Raw genomic sequence first — 16148 nt, 5'->3', positions numbered from 1 at the left:
AAGCACTAATGATAGGATAAGATACTGTTTTCAGAGACTCTTGACTTCAAGCTACTAATTAATGGAAAAATCAATTCCTTAATAACTGCCAGAGTAAGAGGGAGCATAATCCTTTGAGGATTCGCCAAGTTTCTATGACTAGATTTTCAAACTGAGGACATTAATTTGTCTCATGTTACCATCCTTCCCTCTATAGAAAGGGTCTGATCACACCCAATAATCCTCATTCAGTATTTACAGATACACAATGCTACATACACATCTGCTAGAATCATATGGCACACAGAGTACATTTAGTCTCTAAACTCTTCAAGAAACAGGAACTAGAAATCCCAAATACGGTACTCACTTAAACACCTTGTGCTATATTATGTGCATATTAGTGAAACTTCCCAGAAAAGCTTTCAGATGTCTGAGAATGACATAATAACAGTGGAATGTTCATCGAGGACAAAACACGATGTGCTGGTAGCTGTCATTATTTTAGTTGGATAGCTTCAACGTCTCCTACACTGCCAGTTACCTGATATGGCATGCATTTTGGCTTCAAGCAAGGCTGGTAGTTGGGTTTCAATATCGTTAACTTTCTTCCTCAGGGTGCTGCAGAATTTCTCACTCATACACACCTAGGGGGAGAGAAATGACCAGGAATCATCATTTATTCAGCTAAAAATCAGAAGGCAGTGGAACAGCCAGGTCAGAGATTTCTGGGTTTGTAAGTAATTAAAAGGGGTGATGAAAAGTAATTGGAAGACAATGTTCAAAAAGCAAGCAATGGAAAAAGAAAGACAAAGAAGAGAGGGAGAAAGGGAGGAAGGGAAGAAGGGAGGAAGGGAGGAAGGGAAGGAGGGAAGGGGAAGGGGAAGGGAAGGGAAAGGAAGGGAAGGAAAGAGAAGGGAAAGAGGGAGGGAAATGTAGGAAGAAGAACAAAAATAAAGTGAGCAATGGCATATTCCAAGCATATGCCCATCATCACCCCACATCCAATTACAAAACTGATAGGAGCTAACAGAGAGCAACCACAAGGTAACATAATTGCATCACTCCTGCCTCCTGCCTTCTCCAGGCCTCTGCCGAATCCTCCTGTCTGCATCACTTTTGTAGTCCCAGGTGGTTTGGCTCACTCATACCCTTCCAGACTGCTCAGTCGCTGCCTGGGAGGAAAGGCCTTACTGATTACCCACCCAAAATAGCAACCTCCCTTGGCCCTCCCTCCGCTTGATGTTCTTCCACAGCTTCTTCTCAGATGATACACCATGTAATTCTATTCCTTTGTTTCCACATTGTCTCTCTGCCGGGATACGAGCTCTATGTGAGCAGGGATTTTGCTCTGTGCCTGGCACATAGTACGCAGTGAATAAAGATATGGCCATTGAGATGAAGGTCAAAGCTGCAAGCTAAATTTAATTACTAGTATTAATAGACACTGTTTAGGGAAACTTTGAAGGCAGATAGATACTTGCTGGCAAGTCAGATTTGAAAAATAGACAAGTAACTCTCAGTGAGGTTTGAGAGTTTTATCATGTATTTTCCCATGACATTCCAAACACATCCTACAGTTTTTTTCTTTGGTTTTTCAAAAATAGCAAAAATCTTAAATCTTAATTTCTTTTTCCAAATGTCTTTAGGTTATCTTTTATTTTGTTGGAGGCTAAAACATCACATTTTTTTCCTTTTTTGAACCCTTTCAACAGTCTCAAGACTTTTCATATGCCAATGTTATCTAGACTCAGATTAATGAGCTACCTAGAAAAATTTAATTTCCCAGAAGAATCTAAGGTTTGTGGGACACCATCAACTTTAAATGTTTTCTTATATCAGTTTGAATTGAGATTATTTTTGGAGTCAAAGCAGACCTCATCCATCCTGCCTAAAATACTCCACTCTTTCTCTCATGGACTTCCATATGTTCTATTCAGTGGCTGTAATTTTCCAACATCTTTTTTATAAAAATCATTCTCTGGATGAAGACGACAGTTTGGTAGCCTCTAAACCAAAGCATGCACTGGTGATGTTGGGCATCCGCATGTCCAAAGTAATTAATTCCGAGACCCTTTCAACAGTCTTGAGACTTTTCAGAGTTAAAAGGAAGATATCCCTTCCCCCAGCACCAAGTCTTAGTTTGGCTCAAACCAGATGACTGGCACATCCCATCCTATCTATTTAATAATGTCATCTGAGGTCTGAGGGCATTTCCATTAACTCTGTAATACCAGCCATAATTCTTATGTCTCATCCAGTCTATGTCCAATATTTCTGATTTTAGTGAACAGTATCTGTTAATCATAATTGAGTCAGTTTCTCCTTTGTTGAGCAAATCTATCTTTCAAGCTGTCAATATTAATACTAAACAACCTTTCTGAATCTTCTTATTAAATTGCAATGTTCATTCTTTCAGGCTCTGCTGGATGTAATCTAATATCTACCAATCTCCAGATATCCCATTTATTTCCAACTGTTTCTTCCATCTCATTTATCCCTTAATTACTTTTGGTTTGGGTAACCCATAAGAGTTTAAGAAATGTAATGAGTGCAAGGAAGGTTTCATTTCTTTCTGAGACAGGAGTCTAAAGAATATCAGGTAGGGGTGTGTGTGTATGTGTGTGTGTGTGTGTGTGTGGTGTGTCTAACACACTAGAGAAAGAAAGCTATGTCAAGCTGAGACCTTGGTCTCAGCTCATGGTCACTGGTCAATCTAGTTTAAAGTACAGAGAAAGGTGTTTTGTGTGACTGGACAGTTTTGTTTTAATTCTCTGTGGACTAATATAGGCCCCTGCCCACAACACACACACACATTCGTGTCTGTGCACACACACCTATCCACCTCTGCACACACACATACACATCCCCGGAAAACCTGTGTATCCTTTTTATTTACAAATAAAATTGGACACCAAGGAACTCATTATCAAATGGGGCTTTTATGTTTACATTTTAAAATCAAAGATGTGAGTTCCTTAATTTTATGGAAAAGCGAAGTAATTATAAAGTTTTATAAATGTATTAGAGAAGGTATGTGCAATGGTTGGAGATGTTTTTTTCCCCCCAGAATTCATAGGTTGAAAGTCTAACTCCCAAGGTGATGGCATTAGGAGGTGGGGCCTTTGGGAGGTGATCAGGTCATGAAGGTGGGGCCCCCATGAAGGGGATTAGTACCCTTATAAAGAAGCCCCAGAGACCCCGCCTTGCCCTCTTTCTTCCATGCAGGAATACAACAAGAAGTCAACCGTCTGCAGCCTGTAAGAGGGCCTCTCACCAGAACTTAGCCATGCTGGAACCCTAATCCCAGACTTCCAGGCTTCAAAGTGATGGGAATTAAATTTCTGTTGTTTATAAGCCACCTCGTCTACAGTACTTTGTTATAGCAACTCAAATGGAGTAGGACTGTATGCAAACAAAACAACCCATTTTTGATATTTGGGAAAATCTAAGATCTTTAATAGTAGTTGGAAATTTTCAGCAAATCCTAATATTGGGTGCGTATCAGTATATGTGTGTATCCACAATATACAGTGTCATACACACACCCATATAAGCACCATCTGCATTATATAATAGGCACACCTGTATCCTCAACGTTGGTGTACAGATGCATTCATATTACCCATACAGTATGTTCTGAAGATAGTCAATAAACTCAGACCCAAGACAGTCCTCCCATCTTTTAATTCTACATAGAAATCAGGACGCACCTGATAAACAGCAGAAAATGTAAGAGAGGCCAGGTGCGGTGGCTCTTGCCTGCAATCCCAATTTTGACACACTGAGGCAGGAGGATCGCTTGAGCTCAGAAGTTCAAGACCAGCCTGGGCAACCTAGCAAGACCTGGTCTCTACTGAAAATCAAACAAATTTAGCTGGGCAAGGTAGCATGTGTCTGTAGTCCCAGCTACTTGGGAGGCTGAGGCAGGAGGATTACCTGAGCCCGGGAGATCAAGGCTGAGTGAGCTATGATCATGCCATTACACTCCAGCCTGGGTGAAAGAACCTTTGGGTGAGCAGAGCAGAAGTCAAGCATTTCTGGGTCCCTGGCTCCGATGCTGTCTTACGGGCACCACTTGTTCCTAACAGGAAGCTCTCTTTGTACACAAGTTATAATTACCCATCAAACCTGCGGCTCTGTGACCTTTAGCAAAATCACTGGGTGTTGTTTTCAGAAATAAATTAGATACAGAAATGGAGAAAATGCACAGAGTAACTCCAGACATTTTTGCCAACATCACATCCCTGATTCTGGCTTAGCTGCGGTGATCCCTTGGCGTGTTTCCTGATCTAGGGTCCAAGACTTTCTTTCTCTGGGCACAGAGACCGGAAGAGAGTCCTTCCAGGCCAACAGGCTCTCAGCTGCGTTGCTCTCTGCTCAGCAAGCTGTCCTTTTTACATTTCGACCATGGTACAACCACCCCTCGTTCCCAGACCAACTGCAAATAATGAATGATTCATACCCAGTTCTCTGCCACAACATTTAGTCATAATTCACAGAGTAATTGATCCTGTTTCTCAGTCTGTCAATAACTTGGCCAGGTATAAATACATATGAGAAGGGCTTTTGTTTTGTAAACTGTGGTTATCCTAACTAATGAGGACATTGACTATTTAATTGACTGTGCTCTCAGGGAATAGTGAAGACGTATTCTGTCTGTACACAAACCAAGGTCTTGCTATGGCAGTATAAACGATGGATAAAGTAGGCAAAATGATTGTCAAGCCAACTGAAAAGCTTTAAAGAACAAAAAAACAGTCACCAACTGTTCTATTTGTGAGGAAACCAGACATTGCCCTCCTGGGAAGAAAAGTAATTAATTTCTCAAATTACTACCATCCTGAAAGCATTTTTTTTTTCTTTGAGATAGAGTCTCGCTCTGTCTCCCAGGCTGGAATGCAATGGTGCAATCTCGGCTCACTGCAACCTCAACCACCTGGGTTAAAGCAATTCTCCTACCTCAGCCTCCTGAGTAGCTGGGATTACAGGCACCCTCCACCACACCCAGCTAATTTTTGTATTTTCAGGAGAGACGGGGTTTCACAATGTTGGTCAGGCTGGTCTCAAACTTCTGACCTCAGGTGATCCACCCACCTCGGCCTCCCAAAGTGCTGGGATTACAGGCGTGAGCCACCGCACCAAGCCCCGAATGCATCTTTAAGCAAAGGCTTTCAATATGCATAGTGGCAGTCCTTTTTCAGTCCCTAAATTGACAGCTCCTTTTGTAGCAAAGGCCAAACCAGTCCATTTCTGGGGTGTCCACAAGTCAAGACCTCCACTATGACAGAAGCACTCTCTCCTGGCTCTTTTAACTCATCATTGGGCCTGCAAAATGGCTTGACAAAGTCTACATCTTTTTTTGCAGAAGCCAGGTATCCTAAGATCTAGATGTAAAATCAAGTCAAACGAAAACTTCATAGGCTTCTTTGGAAAATGGGAATATAAAGGTACTTACCTTAGTAGTGATTTCTTTAAGTGACAAGTTGAGGGATTTTATTCTTTCCTGGAGGCTGGAAGAATTAAAAAGAGGAGATTGGTCTTCTTGGTAACCACAATTCAATACCACTACAGTTAGGAACACTGCAAAAAGTGAACCTTCCACTGGTCTGATGGACGAAGAAGTGCAGGAGGAAAGATGATGCCAAATTGGCTCCATTTGACTACGGAATAAATATGGTGCTAGGAAACAGACCTTTCCTCCCTTATTATGCCTTACTAAAGCTAGTATTACAATTTTATCATGCCCAGAGTGTACATCTACTGATAACGGGAAGAACAGCCAAGGTGTGCTCCTGGCAGCAAAGGATTAAAATCTGCATTCCTATAACAACCTTCCCAGAAGGAAGGTCTACACTGAGTAGTGTCTCACCAGCAGGGAATCAAATAGTATCTATTTGGGTAGACAATGCAATTCAGCAAATATGTACCCAGAGCCCTCTGCATTCGGCATTGACATAGAGCATAAAGGAGAGACACATATTTAAAGTATGTCTGAGATAGCACCCCCTTAGCCTTCTCCTGCTTCTCTTTTCTCCATAGCACTTTTCATCTTGACATATTTATTTATTCATGTAATTTCTCTCTCTCCCACTGGAACTTAAGTTCCATGAAGGCAGCGACTGTCTGTTGTGTCCACTCCTGCATCCCCAGTGCTTAAAGAATTCCTGGAGCTTGTTAGTAAGCCCTCAGTCAATACCTGTAGAATGAATGAATCAATGCAATTAAGAGTCAGATCTTATTCTGAAGGTTGTTACCTAGTAGAGAAGAAACACAGGCATGCAATTCGCTATAATATAAAGCAAGAGGAAAAAATTACTATAAGGGGAATAGAAAATCAATACTAGGAGAAAACTGCTACATAAAAGCTGTCACCAGGCAGAATATTGTCTGCCTTGAGCAATGGAGAAAATAACTTGTGCAGCAATTTAGAACTAGGAGATTGGTGGGAAAGCTTACCAGAAGAGGTGAAAAGTGAACTGGGCCTCAAAGGGAAAAAAAAAAAGAGAATGAAATTCTAGCAAGAAGATAAATCTAACTGGACCAAATGGTTCTCACAGGTGAGTTGTGAAAGATAAACAGGGAAATGACTATTTCTGGTAGGAAAAGAGAGAGAAGGATGGGGTGGGGCCTATCTGTATCTATAATGTTTGCTTATTTAGTTAGTTAGGGGCCGGGCGTGGTGGCTCACGCCTGTAATTCCAGCACTTTGGGAGGCCTTGGGGGGTGGATCACCTGAAGTCAGGAGTTCGCGAGCAGCGTGGCCAACATGGTGAAACCCTGACTCCATCTCCAAAAAATAAAATAAAATAAATTTATTTAGTCAGGGAAAGAAAATCAAAGTAAATATGGGGTAAATTCTACTATTTGTTTAATCCTAGTAGTGGATAAATGAGTGTTGTATTTTTAAATATGTTTGAAATATTTACAATTAAAATATTTTTAAAGAAATATCAAGGGCAAGCTCTAGTCAGTATTAAATGCCAGACTAAGGAGTTTTGAGTTTTATCCCTCAAGCAATGAGAAATCATTCCGTTTTCTAGCAAGAGAGCAATATGAAAGAAGTGTTTTTGTTTTTTAGAAAAATAATTGGGCTGCACTATGAGAGATGATTTGGAGGAAGAAAGTCTGAATGTGACAAAACCAGACAGGCCTCTTCAGCAGTGTAAGCCCGTCATGGGGTCCATGGGCCCCGCAGAGTGATAGAGGTCAGAAAGGGGAGGGAAGAACAGGACTGGATTACGTGGATGCTCACAGCAGTGAGAACATCCATTCTAGAGTTTTCCACTCTTTCATGCATTCATGAACTCACTCATTCTTCAAATATCTATCTACTGGGCACCCAGCAAGCTAGGAACTTAGAGCATGAAGACATGGTTCCTGCCCTCAACCACTTACTGCTGCTAGAAATGCCAGAAAATGTAATAGATGCTAGAAGAGGAGTGATTACTTGATTAAATGATGACCTGCAAAAGGAAAGGTCAAGGTTTCTGGGGTATGTGTTGGGAGGGGAAGGGAAAGTGTGCAGGGTGTCAGGAAATCTCATACCAGAGGTTGCCAAGTATCGGAGCTAAGCTGCCAATTTGCTGATTTTTGTTTGTTTGTTCTTCAACTGTAAGAACTATATTTTGATGTTATCACATCCACCAATTTGTCACTTCTGAGTATAAGCAAACTCGTTTCAATTGTAAATACCTGGGAACTGGTGCAGGTCCGTACTAATCAGTCATTACCACTTTAGACCTACTTTCAACAGAGGAGGGTTTTCCAGTCCAGCTGAGATCAGCCCAAATGGAAGAAGTGAGGTTTGACAGAGGTGGGGCATGTGACACCAGACTCTTCAGAATTCAGGAGCTGCCATCTGACAAAAATTCGTGTACTCAGTGGGAACAGTGGAAAACAATGTTTGGAATCCTGCCTGGAGAATGCTAGACTCTGGCTGGCCAGGGATTGGATCTTTTGAGAGAACATAAGTCAGAGTGTCACACAGACATGGAGATTGGGGCAGATGAAACCACTTAGGGTGGTGAGAAGGACAGAGGGCATCCAACATGGACCCGTACTGGTTCTTCCTCTGATTCTAACAGCAGCACCAGCTTTGGGTGGCTAATGCCTGCTGCCCAAACTGAAAACCTTCCTTGGGCAGAAATGCACTTTCCCTTGCTGGGCTCGTTAGAGTCCATTCAACAAATACATTTTTAATAAATGGTTCAACACATCATTGAACCTATATGAGCATTTAATAGTATATTATAAGTAGGTGTTCCCAATCACACACAAAGACTAGCCCATGCATTAACAATTCAGATAGGTAGTAGATCCTCTTACTGATACTGAAATTTTAGCTGACCAAAACAGCAGTGCCTTTAGCTAATGCCCAACATATCACAAAAAAGGAGGTCAAGCACCATCTTTCCAGGGGTTGACACAGTTCACTTGTCTGGGCTGAGATCTGGCCCTATCCCAGAAAGAAAATCAGTCTCCTCTCAGATATCCATGTTAGAGGAAGGGGGCAGTGATGCAGATAATTAAATGCATTGTTTTATATTTAATTTGATTTATAATTAATTTATGCTATATTCCTTTTTGCAACAGATTTGCCTTCCCAATTACGTTTTGCTCAGGCTACTATTAACATTAGTTGTATCCCTGGGGTATATACAGAATAAAAGCAATTGTTGGGGGAGCAGACGATATGAGGAATCTATATACTATGCTAGTGGGTTTCAGGCTATTTATAGTAGAAGAATTCTCTCAAACCAAAGTTTACACAGCACTATAAAACATAATAAAGATAACAGGGAATCTGCTTTTATTGAAGTGGGGTGTCTGGCCTAGGGTACAAAGATGTCACATTAGTCCCCCAAACATACACACATGTTGCTGCTGCCATCACACTGTGGTCCCCAAACCGTAATTCCAGGAGCAGGACTACAAACCAAAAACCAGAAAATAAGACCAGTTCAATGCTGACAAGCAGGAGTTCCGTGTACTTTAATGAGTGAAACCAATCCCCACTTTTTAAAAAACTTGCATATTATTCATAACAAACAAGAATTATCCTCTCAGATGAAATTATGCCTTACCCTAGAAACACACAATTTGTCCAAACAAATTAGCGAACACATTTTCAGAAACACACCAGACCTAATTTACCCAAATGAGTATCTTCATTCAAAGTGGCTGCCCTGGAAATAATAGAATCCAACATTTATTGAACACTTACTATGTACCAGACACTCTCCCAAATTCTCTATGTAGATGAGCATTTTAAATTCTTATTATAACTCTATGAAGTAGAAACTCTAATTATCTACATTGTAAGACAAGAAAATTTCATCAAAGAGACTAAGAGAGGTTTAAGTAACTTTCCCAGGGGTAACCAGCTGGTAATTATGGGAGATTAAACAGTAACCCAGGCAGTCTAACTATCTGCTCTCCTAACTGTTGAACAATACTAACTACCGCTCCCAGAAGCTGTGTACCTATTTAAAATGAACTGTCATCCAGACAAATTTTTGGAATTCTATTTCAGAATTTTGTTCAATGTACAATATAATCAATATCATGATTTGTAAATACACATTATTCTTTACTCACAAACTGGTGTTCCAATCATATGACCAAATTTCACCCTCAACAAATGAAACCTTACAAAAATTGAGACTACTGACATGAATGTGCTGCACAGAACGCACATCAGCAGCAGATGAGCCTGGGGGGTGGCTGTGGCAAAAGAAAATTAAATGCAAAGGTGCCTGTCACCGGTTGAGTTGTGTCCCCCAAAATTCACAGGTTGGAGTCCGAATCCCCAGTACCTAAGAATGTGACGATGTTTGGAGATAGGGCTTTTCAATAGGTAATAAATTTAAAATAAAGTCATTAGGGTGAACCCCAATCCAATATGACTGGTATCATTATAAGGAGAGATGTGGAAGGCCAGGCGCGGTGGCTCACGCCTGTAATCCCAGCACTTTGGGAGGCCGAGGTGGGCAGATCACAAGGTCAGGAGATGGAGACCATCCTGGCTAACACGGTGAAACCCCGTCTCTACTAAAAATACAAAAAATTAGCCGAGCGTGGTGGCAGGCGCCTGTAGTCCCAGCTACTTGGGAGGCTGAGGCAGGAGAATGGCGTGAACCCGGGAGGCAGAGCTTGCAGTGAGCCGATATCATGCCACTGCACTCCAGCCTGGGCGACAGAGGGAGACTGTATCTTGAAAAAAAAAAGAAAAGAAAAGAAAAGAAGAGATGCGGAGACAGACACATGTGGAGGGAAGATCATCTGAAGACAAAAGAGAAGACAGCTGTCTGCAAGCCAAGGAGAGGAGCCTCAGAAGAAACCAACCCTGCTGACACCTTGATCTTAGACATTCAGCCTTCAGAATTGTGAGAAAATAAATTTCTGTTGTCTAAGCCACCCTGTCCATGGTACTTTATTACGACAGCCCTAGCAGACTCATGCATGTGGAATTTTCCATTTCTTGTGGTATGATGAGTTATAGGTATTATTAGGGCACCGCACACTGGTGCTTCACGATCCAGGTAAAAAGAGTTGCTACTCCATGTAGCAGCAGCAGCAGGTCCAACAGAAAACACGGCACTCTTTTGTTTTCTTCAGACTGACGGTTTCTTTTCAATCTGCCCAACTGGGAGACTGTGGGCTGCTACAATAAACGTGTGTAGAACATTACCATTCTTGTCTATAGTTTAGGAGCTAAGTATTATGAATGGTGGCTCTAAGAAAATGTTATGTGAGAATGTCTTTGATTTTTAAAAATGATTATTATGGATTTTTAAAAATCATTTTTAAAAATGATTACGGATTATGATTTTAAAATTATTATTTAAAAATGATTCATTAGAAATGAAAAAGGGCTCCCTTCAATACTCTTGCAATATCACAAACAGAATGCAACCACTGATGTCAAAAATATGAGTAATAAAAATTCAATCTTGGGGGACAGATTGCTTTTCAGCCGTAATTAGAAGGGCAAATGGAATTTAAGTCAATAACAGTCACTAATCTAGATAATACAAGCCAAGACTTGGTCAAGGGCCAGAATGAGACATTTATACAGGAGGAGACAGCCAGGCAATTTTGGTTCAATGACTTGGGAGTGAGAAACTATTCTAAAGATAACTGATCTGACCAAAGAACTGTCTCTACTTCTACCACTCTGCTCCAAGCCACGGGCACCTCTCCTCTGAAATGCTGCAATCGTCTCTGAACAGTTCTTCTGCGTTCACCCTCACTCCTCTACAGTCTGTTCTTGAGATGTAGCCAGGGTGAGCCTTCACAAGCATGTCAAATAAAATGCCACTACTCACTCCATCACACCTGAGTCGAGCCAAGTCTGCAAGGGCCTATATGGCCCATCTCTCATCTCGTCTCTTACCTCCTCTCCTACAGCTCCCTTCTTTGCTTACTCCACCCTGGCCACAGAGGCCTCCTGACAGCTCCTCAAATCTGCTGTGGCTGGTGCAGGGTCCACTGCCTTGACCTTCTGCCCCAGCACACATAATGGGCCAACCCCCTCCCACCTGCAAGTCTTTGCTCACCTCTGACCCTCTCAGTGAGGCTGGCCTGACTACTCCATTGACAGCTGTAAATTTCACATCCACTCGTCTTCCACCCCAATCCCCAGGTCATGTTCATTTTCTACTAACCTACATGTAACTTACTAATTTATTATGTTTGTTATTTATTTCTGCCTTTTACTACTAGAAAAAGAATTTCATGTGGGCAAGGATTTTTGGAGAAGTACTTGAAGTGTTTGGTACACAGTGTGTACCTAATCAGTATTTGATTAATGAACAATACTCACATTCTTGTCTTCTAAGAAATAAGTGGGGTGGGGTGGGGTGGGGTGGAAGCATCCTCACCTCTGCTAGAGGCACACTCAAACCACAGGATGGGGAGCGGCTCCATCTTTATCCCCATTTCCCACCACTGCCCCCTCAGGATCAGGGATTAAAGGCTGCAGCTGCTCTTGACTGTATGGCTGGGGTGAAGCTTTGCATGACAGAGAAAGAGGTTAAAAACTTGGAGTCAACTCATGAGATGTCCTCTCTTCTTTTTAAATTGCATCTCTCAGAAGTCTTACTCTCTGGTTTATCTCTGTTAGAGGGTTTCCTTTCATGGGCTATATTACGTGTTGAATTGTGTTCTCCACAAAATTCGTATGTTGATGTCCTGACCTCCATACCTCAGAATGTGACTGCAGTTGGAAATAGGGTTGTTGCAAATGTACTTTGAGTTAAGATCAACCATACTCCGACATGACTGGTGTCCTTATAAAAGGGGAAATGTGGATTCGGGGACATGCATAGAGGGAAGATGATATAAAAAGACACAGGGAGAAAATGATCATCTACAAGCCAAGGAGAGATACAGATCCTTCCCTAACAGTCCCCAGAAGGAAGCAACCCTGCTGACACCTTGATTCTTGGACTTTTTTTGTTTTTTCTGAGATGGAGTCTCACTCTGTCACCCAGGCTGGAGTGCAGTGGTGTGATCTCAGCTCACTGCAACCTCCACCTTCTGGGTTCAAGCGATTCTCCTGCCTCAGCCTCCCAAGTAGCTCAATTACAGGCCTGCGCCAGCACACCCAGCTAATTTTTTTGGTATTTTTAGTAGAAATGGGGTTTCACCATATTATCCAGACTGGTCTCAAACTCCTGACCTCAAGTGATCCACCCACCTCAGCCTTCCAGAGTGCTGGGATTACAGGCATGAGCCACTGCGCCCGGCTGATTCTTGGACTTCTGGACATGATGAATTTCTGTATTTAAGCCAGGTGGCTGTGGTGCTACTTTATTATGGCAGCAAACTAATACAGGCTGGCATGGGAAGGAAGACAATGTGGAGGGTCACTCATTCCTGCCTCTTAGAATGGCAAGAGCTAGAAGTCTGGAAGTGAGGTGTAGGCCTGGGCAAAGGGCACCAGTGGTCTCATCTGGGAGCCTGCCTCTAGCAAGTGCCAGATGAGTTCTCACTGCCAACATGCTGCCAAGATCAGAAGATGGCTCCAAAAATTCAGAGTGATTGTGCTTAGAGCATCTTGCTCATCTTTCTCAAAAACCTATAGCTATTGCTATAATGTCAATGTGTCCTCCAGAATTCACGTGTCGGAAACTTAATTCCCAAGGCAACCGTGTCGAGAGGCGGGACCTTTAAGAAATGATTAGGTTACCAGGAATCTGCCCTCATGAATGAATTGATATCATTACTGGGGGAGTGGGTTCCTGACAAAAGGGTGAGGTTGGTCCCCTCCCCTTCTCTGTCTCTCTCTTTCTCTCTCTGTCTCTCTCTCTCCAGCGCTCTCTCTAGCACACATGCTCTCACTCTCACTCTCTCTTTCCCTCTCTCTCTCTCTTGCCCTTCTGCTTCCTGCCATGGGATGATGCAGTAAGAAGGTCCTTGCCAGATGCAAGCCCCTCAACCTTGGACTTCCAAGCCTCCAGAAGTGTAAGAAATAAATCTCCTCTCTTTATAAATTACTCAGTCTGTAGTAACAAAATGGACTAAGACAGCTGCATTGGGCATCTATTTGGTTAGAGAATCCCATGCCCCAATCTAACAGCAACTAACAACTATTTACTTGGTTTCTCCAGATCCTGTCCCTTAGGGAGGCCTATCTCAAGAGCCTTAGAACATACTTAAATCCACACCCTCTCTTAGTAATACTTCCAATACTTGCTTTAGATCCAGGCAAAAGAACGCCTTCCTTGCTCTCTGCCACATTAGAGGGCTCTGTCCTGATCCTCCTTATCCTTGAGGGGAAGGGTAAATGGGGCGCCAAAGGTACATGCCACCCAAAGCTGGTTCAGGCAGCCAAAACGAGAAGTGCCTTCCTGAAGAGCCAGGAGGCTGCATCCTGCCAGGGCCTCTTCTCAGAGCACTGCTCCCAAGGGTGGACGCAGTGCAGTGGGCATACCTCTAGGCCCAAGCAGTAGTCGAGCACAGGCTACCTTGAAGGGTGTAGATATTACCTGGGCATACAGGCTAGGTCCCCATATAAAACCTACCATGGTGTGGGACAGGTGCAAGGGTAGGAAGACAAGGTGGGAAGTTCCATTTGACCCCTTACTCTGGGACACAATGTCAGGCAGGCCTGGATAGACCCCTTTAATATTATATCCTAAAGAAACCACCTCTCATTCCATACAATCTTTGGTAGTTTATTACCAGTTCCTCGTACCACCAGTAACCCAGCCATAACCACCTTAGCACCTGGCACTGGAGGCAAAGCCTTGGCTCTCAGCATTAGAGGCACATCCAAGGTGACAACAACACACCTGCCCCAAAGATGAGCCTTTGAAGAACAAACTCTGTTCCTGTTCTTATCTGGACCTCTGCAGAAAAAGAATATTAACGACACTTAGAGAATTACACCACTACCCCACTAACTTTCTGCAAGACTTTGAACAAGTCACTTTCATCTGGGGCTCCATCTTCTCAGTTGCAAAATGAGGAAGTTGGACTAAATTATTTCTAAAATCCTTCCAGGTCTACTATCCCATATTCTTTAACTGCTCTATCATTCAAAAATCTTTTACTAGCCTTTTTTATTTTTAGATATTTAGAGAATCTAAAAAACACAAAGGTTTTATAAAGTGCCAGATAACATTGATAATAGAGACAGAAATATACAGGAGACACATGTTGTTTTTCACTCTATAATAGAGTAATAGAGACAGAAATATACAGAATATATTAGATGAGACAGAAATATAATAGATAATAGAGATATATTAGATATTAGAAATATAAAATAGAGACAAATATACAGGAGATACATGTCATTTTTTACACTAAGTGAGGGATGTGTTTTTCAGCTAGGAAGCTAACTGTGCAAACGGCCTGCTCCCTGCAGACAGTTGTCCGCTCATCTTCCTGCCTGTGTATATGAGGCTTTATGCTGAAGTTCCACTTTAGCAAAAAGCTACAGGAGATGAGAAATTCAATTTTATCTCTGCACAGCCTTCTCTCTACCCTCTCCCTACATTCCCTATCCCATCCCCTGTTTCTTGTTTTGTAAAACTCAGTTTAAGAATGAGAGATTATTACTAAAGCAAACTACAAATGATGGAAAGAGCAAAATGACAGCTATCTTAGCACAGGCGCCACTTGGGCCTTTAATGAAAACACACTCACACAGCCAGGTATGGTGGATCACGTCTGTAACCCATGCACTTTGGGAGGCCAAGATGGGCAGATCACTTGAGCGCGGGAGTTCAAGACCAGCCTGGACAATATGGTGAAAACCCGTCTCTACCAAAATAATAATAATAATAATACAAAAATTAGCCAAGTATGGTGGCATGTGTCTGTGGTCCCAGCTACTCGAGAGGCTGAGGTGGGAGTATTCCTTGAGTGCAGGAGGCTGAGGCTACAGTGAGCTATGATCGCACCACTGCACTCCAGCCTGGGTGACAAAGCAAGACTTTGTCTCTAAATAAATAAATAAATAAATAAATAAATAAATAAATAAAATAACACACACACACACACACACACACACACACACAGACAAATCTGTTGACATTAACAACCTTGCCAATGACTGCTCAGTCCCCTCACCTTCTGTCAGAGGGCAAGTGGATAACAAAATGACTGTGGAAACAGCTTTAGGAAATTCATGTTTATCTACTTGGCCTTTTTCTTTCCTTAGACCCTTCTATCCTCACAGCTGATAATGTCACATGGCACCCATCGGACATTCATGGAGCACAGAGGCACAAACGCCATGAATTCCTCTAGACTTCAGATGATCTTGTAAAGGCACAACAGGGTACATAAATTCATCAGAAGCAAGCCATTCTACATGGCTATAAAAATGACTCAAGCTGGTTATCTGAGACCTTTACTTCTGGGAAAGCCAGTGTGGTGCAGTGGAGAGAGATCTGAGCTGAGAGGTAGGAGCACCAGGGCCTCTGCTTGCCATCCTTGCCACCTTTGGCAAAGCACATTATCTCTTTCCAGTTCGGTGGTGGCTGAAGCCAGAGAGTTTGCTGGACTCAAGCCAGACACTCACCTTCGTGCTCACCAACTAGCTCATCTTTTGAGGATCATGGGAGGAATAAAGTATAGAAAGACCATTTCATAAATCATGCAGACATATACCATACCTGGATTATAGTAAGAAAATATTTTAGAGTAATCTG

The 16148-nt window shown here is 42.3% G+C and overlaps 1 protein-coding gene and 1 long non-coding RNA gene across 21 annotated transcripts in view; both read right to left on the bottom strand.

Annotated features, from left to right (window-relative positions):
* Positions 1–16148, bottom strand: part of TSNAX-DISC1 (TSNAX-DISC1 readthrough (NMD candidate)) — a 512620-nt gene that overhangs the window by 240539 nt on the left and 255933 nt on the right. For 4 of the 6 annotated variants that reach the window (NR_028394.1, NR_028397.1, NR_028396.1 and 1 more), the window contains 2 exons: positions 5438–5492; positions 524–626 (listed from right to left, as the gene is read on the bottom strand). This is a non-coding gene — a long non-coding RNA (TSNAX-DISC1 readthrough (NMD candidate)). The remainder of the gene's footprint in view (positions 1–523; positions 627–5437; positions 5493–16148) is intronic. The other 2 variants (NR_028393.1, NR_028395.1) reach the window with 2 other exon arrangements.
* DISC1 (DISC1 scaffold protein) overlaps positions 1–16148 on the bottom strand; it is a 414483-nt gene that overhangs the window by 240539 nt on the left and 157796 nt on the right. For 10 of the 15 annotated variants that reach the window (NM_001164537.2, NM_018662.3, NM_001012957.2 and 7 more), the window contains 2 exons: positions 5438–5492; positions 524–626 (listed from right to left, as the gene is read on the bottom strand). The exons of 4 other annotated variants lie outside the window; for them this stretch is intronic. In NM_001164537.2, coding sequence (NP_001158009.1) covers positions 524–626; positions 5438–5492 — 158 coding nt within the window. The remainder of the gene's footprint in view (positions 1–523; positions 627–5437; positions 5493–16148) is intronic. One more of the 15 variants, NM_001164545.2, reaches the window with a different exon arrangement.

The sequence above is a fragment of the Homo sapiens genome, chromosome 1, assembly GCF_000001405.40.
Source record: "Homo sapiens chromosome 1, GRCh38.p14 Primary Assembly".
NCBI classification, from domain to species: Eukaryota; Metazoa; Chordata; class Mammalia; order Primates; family Hominidae; genus Homo; species Homo sapiens.
The sequence above is the reverse complement of the archived record's forward strand: the minus strand, read 5'-3'. Positions and strand labels throughout refer to the sequence as shown.